Source organism: Homo sapiens, chromosome 2, assembly GCF_000001405.40.
Source record: "Homo sapiens chromosome 2, GRCh38.p14 Primary Assembly".
NCBI lineage: Eukaryota > Metazoa > Chordata > Mammalia > Primates > Hominidae > Homo > Homo sapiens.
In genome coordinates, this window is record NC_000002.12 from 229,701,651 (window position 1) to 229,717,555 (window position 15,905).

Genomic DNA, 15,905 nt, shown 5'->3' on the forward strand with positions numbered 1-15,905 from the left:
ATCTTTTGAAACTTTTGAGCCATTCCCCAGGAGAATATCTACATACAAAATTTGGCATCTCCAGGGTATGTGGGTCCCACGTGAGCCCCACCCCACAATGGTCGGACCCAAGGACTCCTCCCACAGTCCATGGCACTGTGCAGATGGCCAGCTACGAGGAAGTGAGCATGTTGGACTTTGAGGAGTTCAACCAGACTATGAAACAGCAAAATCACAAGACCTTTTTTGCCTTCTTTGCCAGTTCCAAGGACATTGGAGGTAACAGATATAGCCCCAATGGCATGCGGGCCAAACCAGTTGTAGAGACGGGCTGAAGCATGTTCGGGAAGAATGTGCATTCATCTACTGCCAAGTAGGAGAAAAGCCTTATTGGAAAGATCCAAATAATGTCTTCAGGAAAAATTTGAAAGGAGCTGCAGTGCTTAACCATGGAACCCAGGAAAAACTGATAGAATCTGAGTGTCTTCAGGCCAGCATAATGGAAATGTTCTCTGAAGATTAAGATTTGATGATGGCAGTCATGCCTTGATTTCCTGCTCTGTTCTGGTAAACTGCATACTTGGTTTGAATTCTTGTTAGCAATAAATAAATAAATGATGATGGGCTGGGCACAGTGGCTCCCGCCTGTAATCCCAGCACTTTGGGAGGTCAAGGCGGGAGGATCACTTGAGCCCAGGAGGTCGAGAACAGCCTGGGCAATGTGGTGAAACCTTGCCTCTACAAAAATATTTAAAAATTAGCCAAGCGTGGTGGTGCATGCCTATAGTCCCAGCTACTCGAGAGGCTGAGGCAGGAGGATCACTTGAGCCATAGAGGTTAAGGCTGCAGTAAGCCATGATCACATTACTGCACTTCAGCCTGGGCAACAGAGTAAGACCCTGTCACCGAAAATAATAATGATGATGATGATTTTAAAAAAAGAGTATGTGAGTGTCCACGCACTCTTGAAACCATCCACAGATCCCAGGTTAAGAATCCTGGTTCTGGCCGGGCACGGTGGCTCACGCCTGTAATCCCAGCACTTTGGGAGGCCGAGGCAGGCGGATCACGAGGTCAGGAGATCGAGACCACCCTGGCTAACACGGTGAAACCCCATCTCTATTAAAAACACAAAAAATTAGCCGGGCGTGGTGGCGGGCGCCTGTAGTCCCAGCTACTCGGGAGGCTGAGGCAGGAGAACGGTGTGAACACGGGAGGTAGAGCTTGCAGTGAGCTGAGACCGTGCCACTGCACTCCAGCCTGGGGGACACAGCGAGACTCCGCCTCAAAAAAAAAAAAAAAAAAAAGAATCCTGGTTCTACCTCAGTGTAAAATTCTACCCTGTTTTGGAGGATTCTTGTCATCTCAATATGTGCCTGGGAGAACTGCATTTCTCTAGCTCCTCACCTGTGGTATTCTAAAAAGCAAGTTCTAAAGGCTCTAGAGTAACCAAAATAATTTTGCAGGTGGTGGGGAGAAGGGGGGAGAACATATTTACAGGACTCAACCTGATTTTAGGACTTACTATAACTACAGTAGTCTCAAGATAGTGTAGAATTGGCAAAAAGAGACATAAATGTAATAAAATAAAGAGTCCAGAAATAGACCCACACATGCTTGGTCAAATGATTTTAAACAAAGGTACCAAAATAATTCAGTGGAGATAGACAGTCTTTTCAACAAATGTTTCTGAAACTATTAGACATTTGTAAGCAAAAAAAAAGAACGAAAACTACCCATACATTGCACCACATAGAAAGAGACGATCTTAAAATGGGTCAAAGACCTTCATGTCAAACCTTAAATGATACATGAGAAAACAAGAGGGGATTTTTGTGGCCTTGGGTTAGGCAAAGATCTCTCAGATAGGACACAAAAAGTACAAACCATAAAAGAAAAAATGGACCAATCAGACTTCATTGGTCTCTAAAACCTGTCCTTTGAAAGACCTTGTTAAGAAAAGGAAGGGCTGGGCACGGTGGCTGATGCATGTAGTCCTAGCACTTTGAGAGGCCAAGGTGGGCAGATTTCTTGAGCCCAGGAATTTGAGACCAGCCTGGGCAACATGGTGAAACCCCACCTCTATTAAAAATAAGAATTACTTCAGTGTGGTGGCACATGCCTGTAGTCCCAGCTACTCAGGAGGCTGAGGTGGGAGGATTGCTTGAGCCTGGGAGGCGGAGGTTGCAAGGAGCCGAGATCACAAGTTTGCACCACTGCATTCCAGCCTAGGTGACAGAGTGAGACCCTGTCTCAAAAAAAATGAAGAAAGAAAAGAGAAAGAGAGAAAAAGAAAAAAAAAAAAAGAAAGGGAAAGGAGAAGCCACAGATTGGGAGAAAATATTTGCAAATCGCATATCAAGTAAGGGATTTGAATTTGAATCAGAAATATGGAAAAACAACCTCAGAACTCATTTGAATAGACATTTCATCAAAGAAGAGGCATGGATAGCAAATAGCATATGAAAAGATGTTCAACACCATTAATCATTATAAAAATGCAAATTAAAACCAAAATGTGATACCACTGCACGCTTATTAGAATAGCTAAAACCTAAATCACCAATGATATACCAAGAACTGACAAGGATGCAAGCAACTGGAAGCCTCATTTATTGCTGATGGGAATGCAATGGTACACCTCTTCTGGAAAACACTTTGGCAGCATCTTCTAAAGTTTAACACGCACTTACCACATGACCCAGCAATCCCAGGAAATCCTAGTTATTTACTCAAGAGAAATGAAAACATGTCCACTTAAAGACCTGTATGTGAACACTTACAGAAGCTTTATTCATAATCACCAGACACTGGAAACAAACCAAATGTCATCAGTTAGTGAAAGGACAAATTGTCATCTAGCCATACAATGGATACTATTCAGCAATAATAAGAAACAAACAATTGATACATGAAACGACATGGATGTATCTCAAAAGCATTATGTTCAGTGGAAAATGCACATGTATGACGTTCTAGAAAAAATGCAAAACTATAGTGATGGAAATCAGACCAGTGGCTGCCAGGGACTGGGGCCGGGGAGAGGTTTACTACAACGGGGCATGAGGAAATGTATAGGGATGATTGCGGTGGTGTTACACACCTATGTGTCAAAATGCATAGAAATGAATGCCAAGAAGAGTGAATTTTACTGTATGTAAATTATATCTTAATTTTAAAAATAGTTATGAAATGAAAAGGGTCTGGGAATCCTTTGTAGAAGAAGCAATACAGCTAGTCAATTGGAAGCTAAAGATTTTCGTGTTCTTTTCATTGTTCCCGTATTGCATTTTCCCTTTCTAAAGTAATATACCTCGGACATATTTGACTTTTTGTCCTATTCTAATACATTCTATTGTGCTTGAAAATTAACCACAAGGTTTTGCTCCAAATGACATAGTGCAGAAATCTGACTTCAACGCGGTGGGATACTAGGAGTAATGGTAATTCAGCCATCCTCCACTCAGCCCCCATCAGCCCATTGCTACAGACTCTTCGCTTCAGTCGTCTCATGGAAAAGAAGGACTAGATACTTTTCTTCTCTTGTGATTTCTTCCACCACAGAATGTCTTCCATAAAGGAGTTTTAATCTGCCTCCGAAACCCAAAATGTAATTACAAATGCTCCTTTATATTAACTACAAGGACCAGATAAGTACCAGTGTTGAAATTCTAAAGGACCTGCTTGCTTTCAGGAACTGTGAGCAAAAGATAGCAGACACGTTTCTATTTCCAAGCGCCTTTCTTTCAAGTACAGTGATTTCATTTCTCAAATCCTGTTTTTCAAAAGCCCCGTGCCTTTTCTTTTCTCTTTAAGAAAGAAATACCTTAACATTACACAAACCCAAAGCCTCCATACAGAAACTAAAACTTCCAGAATGGAACCGCAACCCTCTGGTTCCCTTTTCCCTCTGGTGCTCACTTTGAAAGTCACAAACCATGGAGCAGTCTGAGGCACAGCAGTACAGTAAGAGTAATGACCCCATACTCAAAGCCACCATGCCTGGGCTCAGATCCCCAACTCTGTCACCAAGCTATAGGACCCCAGGTAGGTTTCCTTAGCCATAAGATGGGGACTCATATTCACTTTTATCAAAATAGCAGTTTGTGTTTATAGAGGGCCAGTTCTGTGCCAGAGACCTTATTATTCACTTTCATCTTTCCAACCATCCTGTCAATGATTGAGGAAACGGGGTTTAGGAAAGCTGATAAGCCTGTAGTAACTCAGTTAAGATGCTCACCCACACCCCAAACCCCTCCAGTTAGCATTTCTTTTCCCTGCCTCACATACTTCCCTGGAAATAAACTCTAACTATGGTGTCCAGACATGTTGGCCAAGGGCTGATATAAAAGAAAAAGTTCAGATCTATCCAGGAAGACTCTAGAGATTTAAGCAATTTGAAGACAATGACTGTACTCTTTCTGTCAGTCCCAGGGCCCTACCTGGAGCCTAGGTAGAGGTAGCCATCAAGAGGGATGGAAGAGAACAAGAGGAAAAGGGAAAAGGGAGAGGAGCCTTGGGCCAAGTCCAATAAATAAAAATGAAAAAATAAACTCTTTCCACCAATGTTTACGGAAATATTTAGGAGAGGGTCAGCCAACTTCTTCCTTTATCAAGGGCCATATAATAAGTATTTTTGGGCCGGACACAGTGGCTCATGCCTGTAATTCCAACACACTGGGAGGCTGAGATGGGTGGATCACTTGAGCACAGGAGTTCAAGACTAGCCTGACCAACATAGCAAAACCTCATCTCTAGTAAAAATACAAAAAAAAAAAAAAAAATTAGCCGAATGTGGTGGCACACACCTATAACTTCAGCTACTCAGGTGGCTGAGGCACAAGAATCGCTTGAATATGAGAGGTGGAGGCAGCAGTGAGCCGAGATCACACCACTGCACTACAGCCTGGGTGACAGAGCAAGACTCCATCTCAACAAATAAAGAAATATTTTCAGCTTTGTGAGCCATGCTGTCTCTTGCAACTCCTCCCCTCTGCCACTGGAACATGTAAGCAGCCACAGACAACACTTACGCAAACGTATGTGGCTGTGCTCAAAACAACCTTATCCTTGGACACTGAAATCTGGATTTCATATAACTTTCATGCAATGTGAGTTTTTTTTAATGTAGAGGCAAGGTTTCAGTATGTTGCCCAGGCTATTCTTGAATTCCTGGGCTCAAGCGATCCTCCCACCTTGGCCTCCCAAAGGGCTGGGATTACAGGTGTAAGCCGCCACACCCGGCCCAGATATTAGTTTGGTTTTGATTTTTTTTTGACCACTTAAAAATGTTAAAACCATTCTTAGTTGGTAGAAAGAATGGGGATGAGAACTGTGCTTTGGCCACCCTTGATTTAGTTCATCAGAAAAGGTGATTTTTTTTGTTTTGTGTTTTTTTTCCCCCGAGACAGAGTCTCGCTTCAGCCCAGGCTGGAGTGCAGTGATGCGATCTCGGCTCACTGCAACCTCTGCCTTCAGGATTCAAGTGATTCTCCTGCCTCAGCCTCCTGAGTAGCTGAGACTACAGGCATGTGCCACCACGGCTGGCTAATTTTTTTTTTTTTTTTTTTTTTTTTTGTATTTTCAGTAGGGATGCGGTTTCACCATGTTGGCCAGGCTGGCCTCGAACTCTTGACCTCAGGTGATCCATCTGCCTCAGTCTCCTAAAGTGCTGGGATTATAGGCGTGAACCACAGCACCTGGCCACAGAAAAGTATTGTTAAAAGAAAGCTTTATTAGAAATATTAAAAGCTAGAGCTACTGCAAAGCATTTATTGAAAAATATTCTGCACTTCCCAGAACAGACCTGGCACAAGGGAAATGATTAAACAGATTAAATGTCTTCATGTGCTTTCCTTCTCCTAAACACAATCCCTCCTCATATGCCCTGGATCTACTCCACAAGGCCCAGTGCCCTCCTGGTGCCCACAGCTGCACCCCACTAAACCTGTCATTTATTCAACAGTATTACGTAGAGCCTACTGTATGTAGCCCCAGTGCTGGGTTCCCATGCAACTGGGGGAGAAGAGAGCAGAGATTCTGAGAGCTCTTCCTCTCAAAGACAACTGCTCTAAGATGCACATGGTGATTATTGACTGAAGGTAGGTTAGTGTGTTCAAATAAAACATGAGGAGTGATTCCCTAATAGTCTAGACTGCCAGCTCATGCTCTCTTCACTGTTTTCTTATTGTTCTTTGCACTCACTGGGTGAGAAGGACAGAGGAGGAATTAACAGAAGTGAGCACCTTTTATCTGGTGTCTCTCTGATGGGCCAGGCACTGGGCTAGACACTTCTAAGCCATAGCAACTTTCAAGGTTGGCATCAGGATCCCATTTTCACAGATGATAAAACCAAGCCTCAGAGAAAGGAGTCACTTACCCAAGGACACCCAGAGCCAGATTCTAACCCAGGCCTGACTCCCACATTTGGACTCTTTCCATTCTAAGTTCACTTTGAGATGCAAAATCTATACCATTTGAGGAGGGTGTGGACCAGGAGTTTCCAGGCTGTGAGCCTGGCTGCCCTTCAGGCAGGAGTGACCAAAGCAGGTGCAACTGTCGTTTTTCTCTGCCACATGCTATACACTGAACAGGCTATGAAGGAAGATGATAAGAGTCTAGCAGGAGCTTCTCAACCCTAGTCATACAGTAGAATCACCTGGGGAGCACTTAAAAAGTACCAGTGCCAGGCCCCACCCTAGGCCAATTAAATCAGAATCTGGGGGACAGGGGAACCGTAGGACCCACTCATTTTTGTTCAAGCTGCCAGGTCAGTCTAATACACTGCCAGGGCTGAGCACTAATGTGGGGAAGCAGAGGAAGGGGTAAATATAAAGAAATTCTGTCTGCAAACCTTTGCCACATTGTCGGGTTTTCTGTTTGGTGGGGGCAGGATTCTGCAGTCACTGCCTCTGGGTTAAGCAGCTCTGACCACAGCTGCCTACTGAATTGATAAGGATATCTAAAAATACAACCCTGGCATTCAGCTTTCTGACTCAAATACCCTTCAAATTCAGACTAGGTTTTCTTTCTTGTTTGATGCTTATCAAATGAGAGCATAAACAAAACCATTTTTGATGGTACCATGTCACATGAGAAGCTTAAGCAAAGAAGCTAAAGACAGGAACACGTTTTTGTGAGGTGGCCAAGCTGAGAAGAGTGATGCCTCCTAAGAATGCAGCAAGAATGCAGTGCACGAAACAGGCAAATCATTCTGCTTTAATAACACCAAGAAAACATCAAGTTTCCTGCTTTTCTTAACATTCTTACAAAAATTTCGACAAGTTTTTGTTCTTTCATTTCAAAAGAAAACTTCAAGTCACTGAGAATTTTCTAAGAAATCATTTATTTCAGAATAAAAAGTACACATTTATAAAAAGTTTAATACAATTAAATTTTCATTTTCAAAACATGTCATAACATAATTCATCCTAGTAGAGAGAAAAAGCTGTGTCTGTTCATTGAAGGAAGACAATCAAACACACTGAATAAACTAATATAATCATTTTATATGGGGAAAACTACAATCCTTTTCTTAGTATATCTTTTATTTTTGCAACGTGTTACCTTTTTTCAAAATGTTTTAAACTTCATTCTTGCATACTTCTTTACACTTTTAAAAAGAACTTTACTATGTTCTTATTTGTGAGTTACATCATTTCTATAAAGAAAACAAGATAAGCATTGTTAGTCCATGTTAGAGATATGAACATTGAGGTTCAAGGATGTTCAATAATTATCCCAAAGTCACAAGAAGTTCATAGAAAAGCCAGAGAAAGAAGCAATGTCTCTTTACATCTCAGCTACTATTCAACATTTTGTACATACTACAATGTGAGTTTGTGTGTGTCTGTGTGTGTGTGTGTGTTTGTGTGTAAAGTCCAGTAACAAAGACTGATGTAGTACAAAGAACTAGAATTCTTTGTTAGCAAACCTCAGTCAAAAATAGGTTCCTCTGAAGCAGACCACTGTTTCAAGTTAGCATGGTTAATCAGAAGAAAGGATTATAAAATCAGTTTAATAAGTAAATTTAACTTGCATGAAAAGCAGCCACACATGTCCCCTTTTTACTCCAAGTGCAGAAATTAACACATTGTTATTATAATCCTGAAGGATAGGATCCTTAGGGAACATGTAACGAAAAAACAAACAGGTATCTGACTGCTTAAATATTAGGCAAATAATTATTTTATGAAAATAAAATAAGCTTTACAAACAAAGTAATACAAATGTAAATAGCCCCTTCTTTGACGGACAGCCCAATAGAAGGAGTTTCTGTATCACTCACCACAAAAGAAAAATTGGCCCAGCCACTGCCACCTCTGATACCTGCCTGCTTCCCCAAATGAACCAGAACAAGCAAGAGCGGCCTCAATTTCTAATCAGTTGAAGTTTTTTCAAACCTATCAGAAACATTTTTTTTATGTAGTGTCCATTTGCTTGCCATCATGGTAAAAATAACTTCAGCTAGGACCCAGAATTCTAACTCTAAGGTGAAGGTTCCTGGTTAGCATGTGGCATAAGGAGAATCTGTGTCTTTGTCACCTCTGTGCCTTTTTATTCCAGCTGAGCACACTCATACAAGCTCATTTAGAGCAAGACTGGACTCAGAAATTTCTTTATCCCCTTTTTAATGATAAAACTCAAGGAGGTTATAGCTCTTGCTCCCTATTGTAACTATGACAGGTCCAGGGCTGGATTTTCATCTAGGCACTCTTTAGATTCTATAGCCCTGTATCAAGCCAGCCTGGCTGGCTCAAATTCCAGTTCCAGTTCTCACACTTACTAGCAGTGTGACATTGGGACAGTCACTTCACTTTTCTGTACTTCATCTATAAAATGGGAGTAGGGACAGCACCCAGCTCATAGGACATTGCAAGGATCAGCAAGTTATGTCTGCAAAGTCCTTGGAACAGTGCAGGCACGTGGCAAGTGCTTAAAAGGAGGGTAAGCTACCATCATCATCATCATTACATATCTACAAATTAGATTTTCATATACAGTTTTAAAATCAGCTGAATTTCTCATGATTTAAGATGTTTGCATGTGTTAGAGGACTTTCAGGGCAGTATCAAAATGTGACCTTGGATTAGTCACTCAATCAAAATGAGCTTCATTTTCTGCATTTGACTAAAAGAGATGATGATTAGCTCGATCTAGTTAAGGTAATGAGCATTTGAAATATGTGCAGAAAGTTTACAAAGAAAGAAATGTCACAGGTGCTCAGTGATTTACAGCACTTAATTAATTTAATCCTTCCCAGAACCTTAGTGTGAACATCCCACAGAGACAGGATGGACACCCACTCAAAATTTGGTTTGGACCCTGAGACTGAAAATGGCATGCATACACGCGCACACACACACACACACACACACACACACACACACACAGGATACAAAAAGGTTTACTGCTGACATAATGGGGCTCTCTGGGGAGAGCAGGCAGCTCCCAAATGGGTTTAAATGGCTTCTGAGAACAGGGAAAGGAGACTGGCTTGTGGGTTTTGCTGCATTTTGGGGTTGGGGCTGGAGTAGCACAGGGCAGGAGTTTGCATGGTTTGAACCTCCCACCAGCACCAAAGGAGGGAACCCCTGGGCTTTCTTATCAGCTTGTTTTGATGTGGAGGAAAAGAGGAAGGGGAGAGGTGAGGCTTTAAAGCTGTCAGCAGCAATCAGACATCAAGGAATGGAATCACTATCTTCATGAGGTAGGTCCCATAGATCCCATCGTTGAAGATGAGGAAATAAGACCCAGTAGTTTTAACTTCAGCTTGACTTCAAACCCACACGACCTACAATTCCCAAATCCTAGGAGTTTCCATGACTCAGGTGACAAAAGAAGCATGTCCTAGACCCCATTGACTTACGCAAACTCAATCAGCCAACCACAGAAAAGCTAAAGACATCCTTTTTTAAAAAAGCCTAAAGACAGCCATTTTAATCCTAATTCGTAGTTTATGATTTTCTCAAAATTTCCCCACACACAGAAAGAAACTTCAAGGTTAGGTTCTAATGTTACCATTGCTAACACTATTGTCTTTGGAGAAGGAGGAGTGACGCTCTGTTAAAAGATCCTCTTTACATCCAGGTAAAATTCCATTTCCAATTTATCCAGTGAGCACAAGGTTCTATTTCAGCAACCACATAGTCTGCAGTGGCTAAGATCCAATTTCCTTATCTGTAATTGAGTATGTGTAGTTTCTCTCTCCCTCTCTCCCCTCCCCTCCCCACCACCCCAGGTTTAACTTCTCTTCTGAAATTGTCTTTTGTGTTCTTTGCTGTTCCCATGAAAAATGAGTCTCAAGTCTTACTGCGAGATCATGAACGATTAAATTAAAATCATCAGGAATCCATTTTTATGGATTGTAAGGCCCTGAATCATCTCAGTAAGTTTTTCTGGGTAACCAAGTCCAATCAAGTTCCAAGTTCACTAAGCTTTCCTATGAGGATTACAGTAACTTCACCGCTCTCTCCAACTCACACACCAGGGCATGCAGTATTGCTTCTGCTCAGGTGGATGGTGTTCACACAGCTAAGCCTACCTCCAATGGGAGCTACAAAAGAAATCTGAATCTGTTTTGATCCAGTTGGTCCTGCAATGTTATGTATTAGTTCCTGACTCTTCGGAATGAATTATATTATACATCAAGTCACTACTTAGGACAAATCAAAATATTTATGTTTCGCTGTTAGTCATCTTTAGGTGGCACTAAAGAGCTCTTTTTCTTGAAGATGTCTTATATCTGTTTTTAGAGTCACCAAAAACCATCTCAGAGTTGTGTTAAATTCCCAGTGAGTCTTTCTTCTCATGTAAATCGATGGGCACTCTAACCTACCTTCTCCCATCCATTCCCACTAAACCCTAGGTCCAAATCAACTATTTCTTTGAAGGATAAAATTCAGACGTGTGAATATAACAGCAGTTTGATGGACACACTCAGACAATTCATTTCTTCAGGAAAAGTCATATAAATCATCAATCCACAGGGAAAATTAGCGTGAGTGCATTCCTTGGTTTTTGATTTGCAGTTATTTTGACTTTTGCAAAAGCAAGATTTTGTTCTAATGGTTAGAATGGCTCCAACAGGCATTTCCCCCAAGAAGCTATCATGTCCCAAATCTACTCCTGAGGCTCACATCACACAAATTCTTCCTCCTCCTCATCACCTCCCTTCAAGTAACTAAAGCTTATTGTAACCAGTAAACAAAGAGGAAGAGCACAGTGTTGAAAAGATAGATTCAGTTTGCTAATTTGCTATTAAATGAAATAAAAAGATTCTAGATAAATGCAAAAAAATCTGGCTGTCAAGGTCAAGTTTCTCAATCCCATTTACCTCTAAAAAATGTAAAACCTGTCATAATGAAAGGGCAGCCTTTTTCCCCATTGAAAGAACCTATTTGAGCATTCTCAAAGTAACTCTCCAATCATTGTTATCAAATTTATATGAAACAAACTCCTCCACCCTAAATGTAAGGAAGATAGTATCTGATCCCAAATATCGTCCATATTCATGTGGTTTAATGTAATCATTTCAGATAACTTCATTATTTGCCCTACCCTGCAATACAGGTTTGGGGATTTTCTACCCGTACACACAGTCCTACCAAATTGCCTACTGGAAATGTTGATGTTAATAGGTTTCACAGAGCTTTAACGGACTTGTAAAAGCCCCAGATATTATTTTCTGCCAAATTCTCCTGAAAACCCCAAATTCACGGGCGGCTGCTGGCTACATCCCATCGTCCCATCCCTCGCACCGCCCCCACGCTTTCTGGCGGCTTCCCGGTGCCCTGCTCACGCCCCGGCTGCCAGCCCCAAGCGTGCGCCCCGTGGAGCGTCCGGCAGGAAGGGCGGCCCTGCCAGCGCCACGTACAATGCCCCCTCGAATGCCTCCGACTGTTCCAACACTGCTCCTAAGCTTAGAGAGGGCTGGTCGCAGGCCGAGGGGAGGCAGCTGCCCTCCTCGTCCTCTGGCTGCTTTGTCACAGCCCTCAAGGGCGTAGGAAGAGAAGGAGAAAGTGCCCCACCACCTGGCACGGGGCCCACCATCACCTGCCTCCCACACCGCACACCCTTTACACACACAGGGTCCAGCCGGACGTGGAGCGTGGACCACCTGGACATTGAACACCTCGCCGGGGACGCTCGGAGCCGGCTCCTCCGCGCTGCCAAGGCGGGCACCGCTCAAGTGGTTCTTGGCTCGGCCCGGCCTGGAGGGGCGCGCCACTCAGTGGCCAACCGGAGCGTCTAGAGCCCCGCGCGAGAAGTGCCGAGCCCCGGAGCGGCACACCCCGAGAGCCCGGCTGGCCCCGCCCGGGAACCAGGGCGGGTAAGGGAATCAGGGTCGGCCCGGGGGTCCGCGTCCACGCGGGCCAAGAGACTGGATCCATCTTCTTCCCAAAGTGGGAAAGCCTGTGTCAGGCGTGCCCATTGTCGGGCAGCAGCAGCAGGGCCGGCGGGAAGAGGCTGCTGGTCCCGGACCAGCGCCCCGCACCGCGCCCGCCGCTTCCACTCACCTGGCAGTTGGCGCCGGAGATCCCGGCGGGGCAGGTGCAGCTGTAGCCAGGCTCGCCGGCGGGGGCCGGGTGCTGCGGGTCCGGCTCAGGGCGCGAGGTGCACACACCCCCATTCCGGCAGGGCTGCGCGGCGCACGGCCCGGGCGCAGACAGGGGCGCGGCGGGCACCGGGTTGGCCAGGGAGCTGCCTCGGGGCCCCGCTCCGAGCAGCAGCAGCAGCAGGGCCAGCGCGGGCAGCAGCTGCGCACCGGGCGCCTGGGCGCGGCGGGGCTGCATGGCCGGCCGGGAGGGCGCGGGAGCCGGAGCCAGGACGCAGTGACGGCGGCGGCGGTGGCAGTGGCGACGAGAGCTGCGAGAGCGACGGTGGCGGCTAGGGCTGCTCCGCCGGGCCGGGCGCCTCCTGCAGCTGCGGGATCCGCGGTTCCCCGGGCAACGGCGGGCGGGGCCTGCGGGGCGGGGCGGGGCGGGGCGAGCGGGGGGCGGGGCGCCTGGCGGCCCCGGCTCTGGAGCATCGGGGAGTGGGGCCTCTTTCCCCGCAGGGAGTTGGGATGGGGGTTGCAGGAAGACGATGCGGGACCCCATCCCCCAGGAGTGGGTCGAAGTCACGGGTGTGTCCAGAAGCAGCCCTGGTACAGGGAGCCAGGCGACGCTGGGGCAGGAAAGGGGCTGGAGAGGTCCACGAGTGAGGGAAGCGGGGCTTTGAGGGGCTTCCAGAGCCGGGAGCACCGAGTGCGCCCCAAGGCCCGGGCAGGGCAGGGCGCGGGAGGCGGCAGGGCGCCTCAAGGGAGGGGCGGCGCGCTCGCAGCAGCCACCTTTGGCCTCTTGGCGCAGAATCTGCGAGACCGCCGCGGGGCCCGGCCTTGCCTCATCCCCCGGGACTGCTCCCCTTCCCACAGCGCTTCTCCCGGCACCCCAAGCCCTCCCGCCCGGCCACGGAACCCTGCGCCCGACGCTTGCTCAGCAGCCGGGTTCGCCTGGAAGTGACCTCGCCTCCGCCAGGCGGACCCGGGGCCCTTGTCCTTGGTGCTGACCCAGCTGTCTCATTCTCGCCGGCCCTTTCCAGAGCGCGGGGCCTTGCCGCACCACTAAGGAACGTCTGGCCGCGCCGTGTGAGGCCGGGAAGAGGCCTTGGTGTAAGGCTGTCCACCCCTGTCGTTGAACCTAGGGGGAAACTGAGGCCCAGAAAGTCTGGATTCGAATCCAGTGGGTCAATTGACTCCCAGCCCAGAACGCCCGAAAGAACAGTTCAAAAGCCCAGGTTGGCAGAGGCGCTGCTAGCGGCAGGAATCGCAACAGGGGACTCTGCATAAAAGGAGCATTCGCTGTGACCTACTTCGGAGGGGATGGGGGGGGCGGGCTCTTCTACACGTCCTGGCTGGGCTGGCTGGTGCTGCGACCGCCAAGGAGGCTGCACTCCGCTGAATAAAGCGCATCCAGCCTTGTCTCCTCCACCTGACCTTTCACAATCTCTATTACCTGTGGGTTCCCAGGTACCTGTTACCTTCTTTTTAAGGTGGCCAAATGAAAAAAGAAAATGTGATTCCCCTGGATTGACAGTCTGGGCCAATTTTTTTTTTAGTAAACACAAAAATAGCTTGTTTTGTTTTTTAAAAAAATTAAAGTAAGGACTCCATGTGAACTTCTGCTGTAGGTGTCACAGACGCCAGGGATTGCTAAAAGTCCTCCAGTGGAAACAGAAGGCAAACTGCACGGCTTCTCCCTGTCCTGTTCAAACGCAGAAGCAAATGTCACACTTTTCTGCTTCAGGAGATACCTAAAATTCATGTGGCCATTGCAGGAAATCACTGAACCCCAGACAGATCTGCAAGCGGAGAATTCAGACCTCCAAGTGGATAGAGTTATTACATTTTTCCTCACACCTGCTGTCTTTCAATCTAAGACCTCTTCCTCTTGAAAATTCTTAATTTTGTGCCACGCCAGCACCCTCTGCTGGTACTAGTGTCGTCATTCAGGTGGTTTCTGTGCCCCTGGAGTTGCGTTCTTTCCTGAAACTAACTTCTCTTACCTTAAATCCTGGACTAGTGGATAGTGCTCTTCATTGCCTTCCATCAAGACACACACACAAATGAAGCAAGATGAAGTGTAAAAAGGTTGTGAGTTAATTAAAATCACATTTCAGTTTATTGTACTTTTGCCTGAGCAACCCCTTTGTTTGTGTATTTCATATTATTTTGAAATATAGGATAATTAAAAGTGGTTTTATTTTCTGGATGCTGGTTACTGCATGTTTCAGATAATTTTCCTTGCTAAAAGTATTCTCTTAGTCTTTAATCTTTAAAATGCATATTATGGCAGAGACAATACAAGATCCTTTCATTTTTTCCAGGCTAAAAAGGAAAACTATAATCTTCCAGCACCTTAGCTTATAGGCAGAGCAACATGATTAATGCTGGGGAAAAAGCATATTGATTTGCATGTCCTGGTCCCAAAACATCCATGTACTAAGTGCCATGAAAGTGTTAACTATTATTACTGTTACCACGCTCAGAGAAATGGGTCTTTTCTGTAGATTCCGAAAGCTGATCTGGTACTTTACTGACAGCTTTTCAACCATCTGCAAGATCCCCCAAATACTCAACTAAAAAGTCCAACCAATGTATTACCCTGTCACATTAGCAAAAGTGATTAAAATAATATTGCCTCTATGTTTAAATGAAAGCTAAAAATCCAGGCTTTTATTTTATATTATTCCCAACTTACAGAATATCAAATCTTCATCCTGACCCACCTCATTTCCTTTTTTGATAGAGTCCTTATATTGACAAGTCAAAGGCCAAATATACCAATAATGTATCTTGATTTTAGCAAAAAAAAAAAAAGTGATAACATTTCTCATGATCACCTTATGGAGAAAATTCAGCTAAGTGGACTCAAAACTGTTTAACAACATACCAATCGGGGGGTCACTATCAAGCTACAAGAAGTTTTTAGGGAAATAACCATGGAGTTGAAATTTTTGGCAGCTGATAAAATTCATACCAGAATCAACATGTAAATTTATCTTAATCAGTAAAAATGCTGAGCTAAAATAAATGAAATGGAATATGAGGTGAATGATAGTACATTCGATCTTACTGCTACTTCTTCGTAAGACTTTCTCTTCCTGCCCTCCTTAAAGTTAGATGTGGTCATATTATTGGCCATGGCCATAAAATGTGCAGGGAATAGTATGCCCCACTTCCAGATGGAAACTTTTAAAATCCTGCCCATGTCCCACTGTGTTCTCCTCTCCTTAGCGTGACAACTGGCAAGATTCCAAGAGGTGCAATGGGGGCTCCTCCAGCTTGTGTCTCTGAGAGAGGACAATGTGAAGCAATGGGAACCTGCAATGGGCATATGACATAAGAAATAAACCACTATAGTTTTAAACCACTGAGTCTCAACGAT

General features: G+C 45.2%; 1 protein-coding gene across 1 annotated transcript in view, besides 5 other annotated features; it reads right to left on the bottom strand.

Annotated features, from left to right (window-relative positions):
• The window catches only part of DNER (delta/notch like EGF repeat containing), a 356,927-nt gene extending 344,022 nt beyond the window's left edge, over nt 1-12,905 (bottom strand). The window contains exon 1 of the mRNA NM_139072.4: nt 12,498-12,905. Within this exon, the coding sequence (NP_620711.3) occupies nt 12,498-12,773 (276 nt within the window). The 5' untranslated portion in view covers nt 12,774-12,905. The remainder of the gene's footprint in view (nt 1-12,497) is intronic.
• Nucleotides 12,736-12,845: a silencer, noted in NCBI's record as "silent region_12402". NCBI's record gives its function as "represses an Ori minimal core promoter by ATAC-STARR-seq in GM12878 lymphoblastoid cells {active_cell/tissue: GM12878}" and the evidence as "EXISTENCE:reporter gene assay evidence [ECO:0000049][PMID:35858748]".
• Nucleotides 12,736-13,587: a biological region, named in NCBI's record as "H3K4me1 hESC enhancer GRCh37_chr2:230579179-230579953".
• Nucleotides 12,813-13,587: an enhancer, noted in NCBI's record as "H3K4me1 hESC enhancer chr2:230579179-230579953 (GRCh37/hg19 assembly coordinates)". NCBI's record gives its function as "activates a minimal SCP1, AML or CMV promoter by ChIP-STARR-seq in primed H9 embryonic stem cells {active_cell/tissue: H9 hESC(primed)}" and the evidence as "EXISTENCE:reporter gene assay evidence [ECO:0000049][PMID:30033119]".
• Nucleotides 12,916-12,975: a silencer, noted in NCBI's record as "silent region_12403". NCBI's record gives its function as "represses an Ori minimal core promoter by ATAC-STARR-seq in GM12878 lymphoblastoid cells {active_cell/tissue: GM12878}" and the evidence as "EXISTENCE:reporter gene assay evidence [ECO:0000049][PMID:35858748]".
• Nucleotides 13,588-14,361: an enhancer, noted in NCBI's record as "H3K4me1 hESC enhancer chr2:230579954-230580727 (GRCh37/hg19 assembly coordinates)". NCBI's record gives its function as "activates a minimal SCP1, AML or CMV promoter by ChIP-STARR-seq in primed H9 embryonic stem cells {active_cell/tissue: H9 hESC(primed)}" and the evidence as "EXISTENCE:reporter gene assay evidence [ECO:0000049][PMID:30033119]".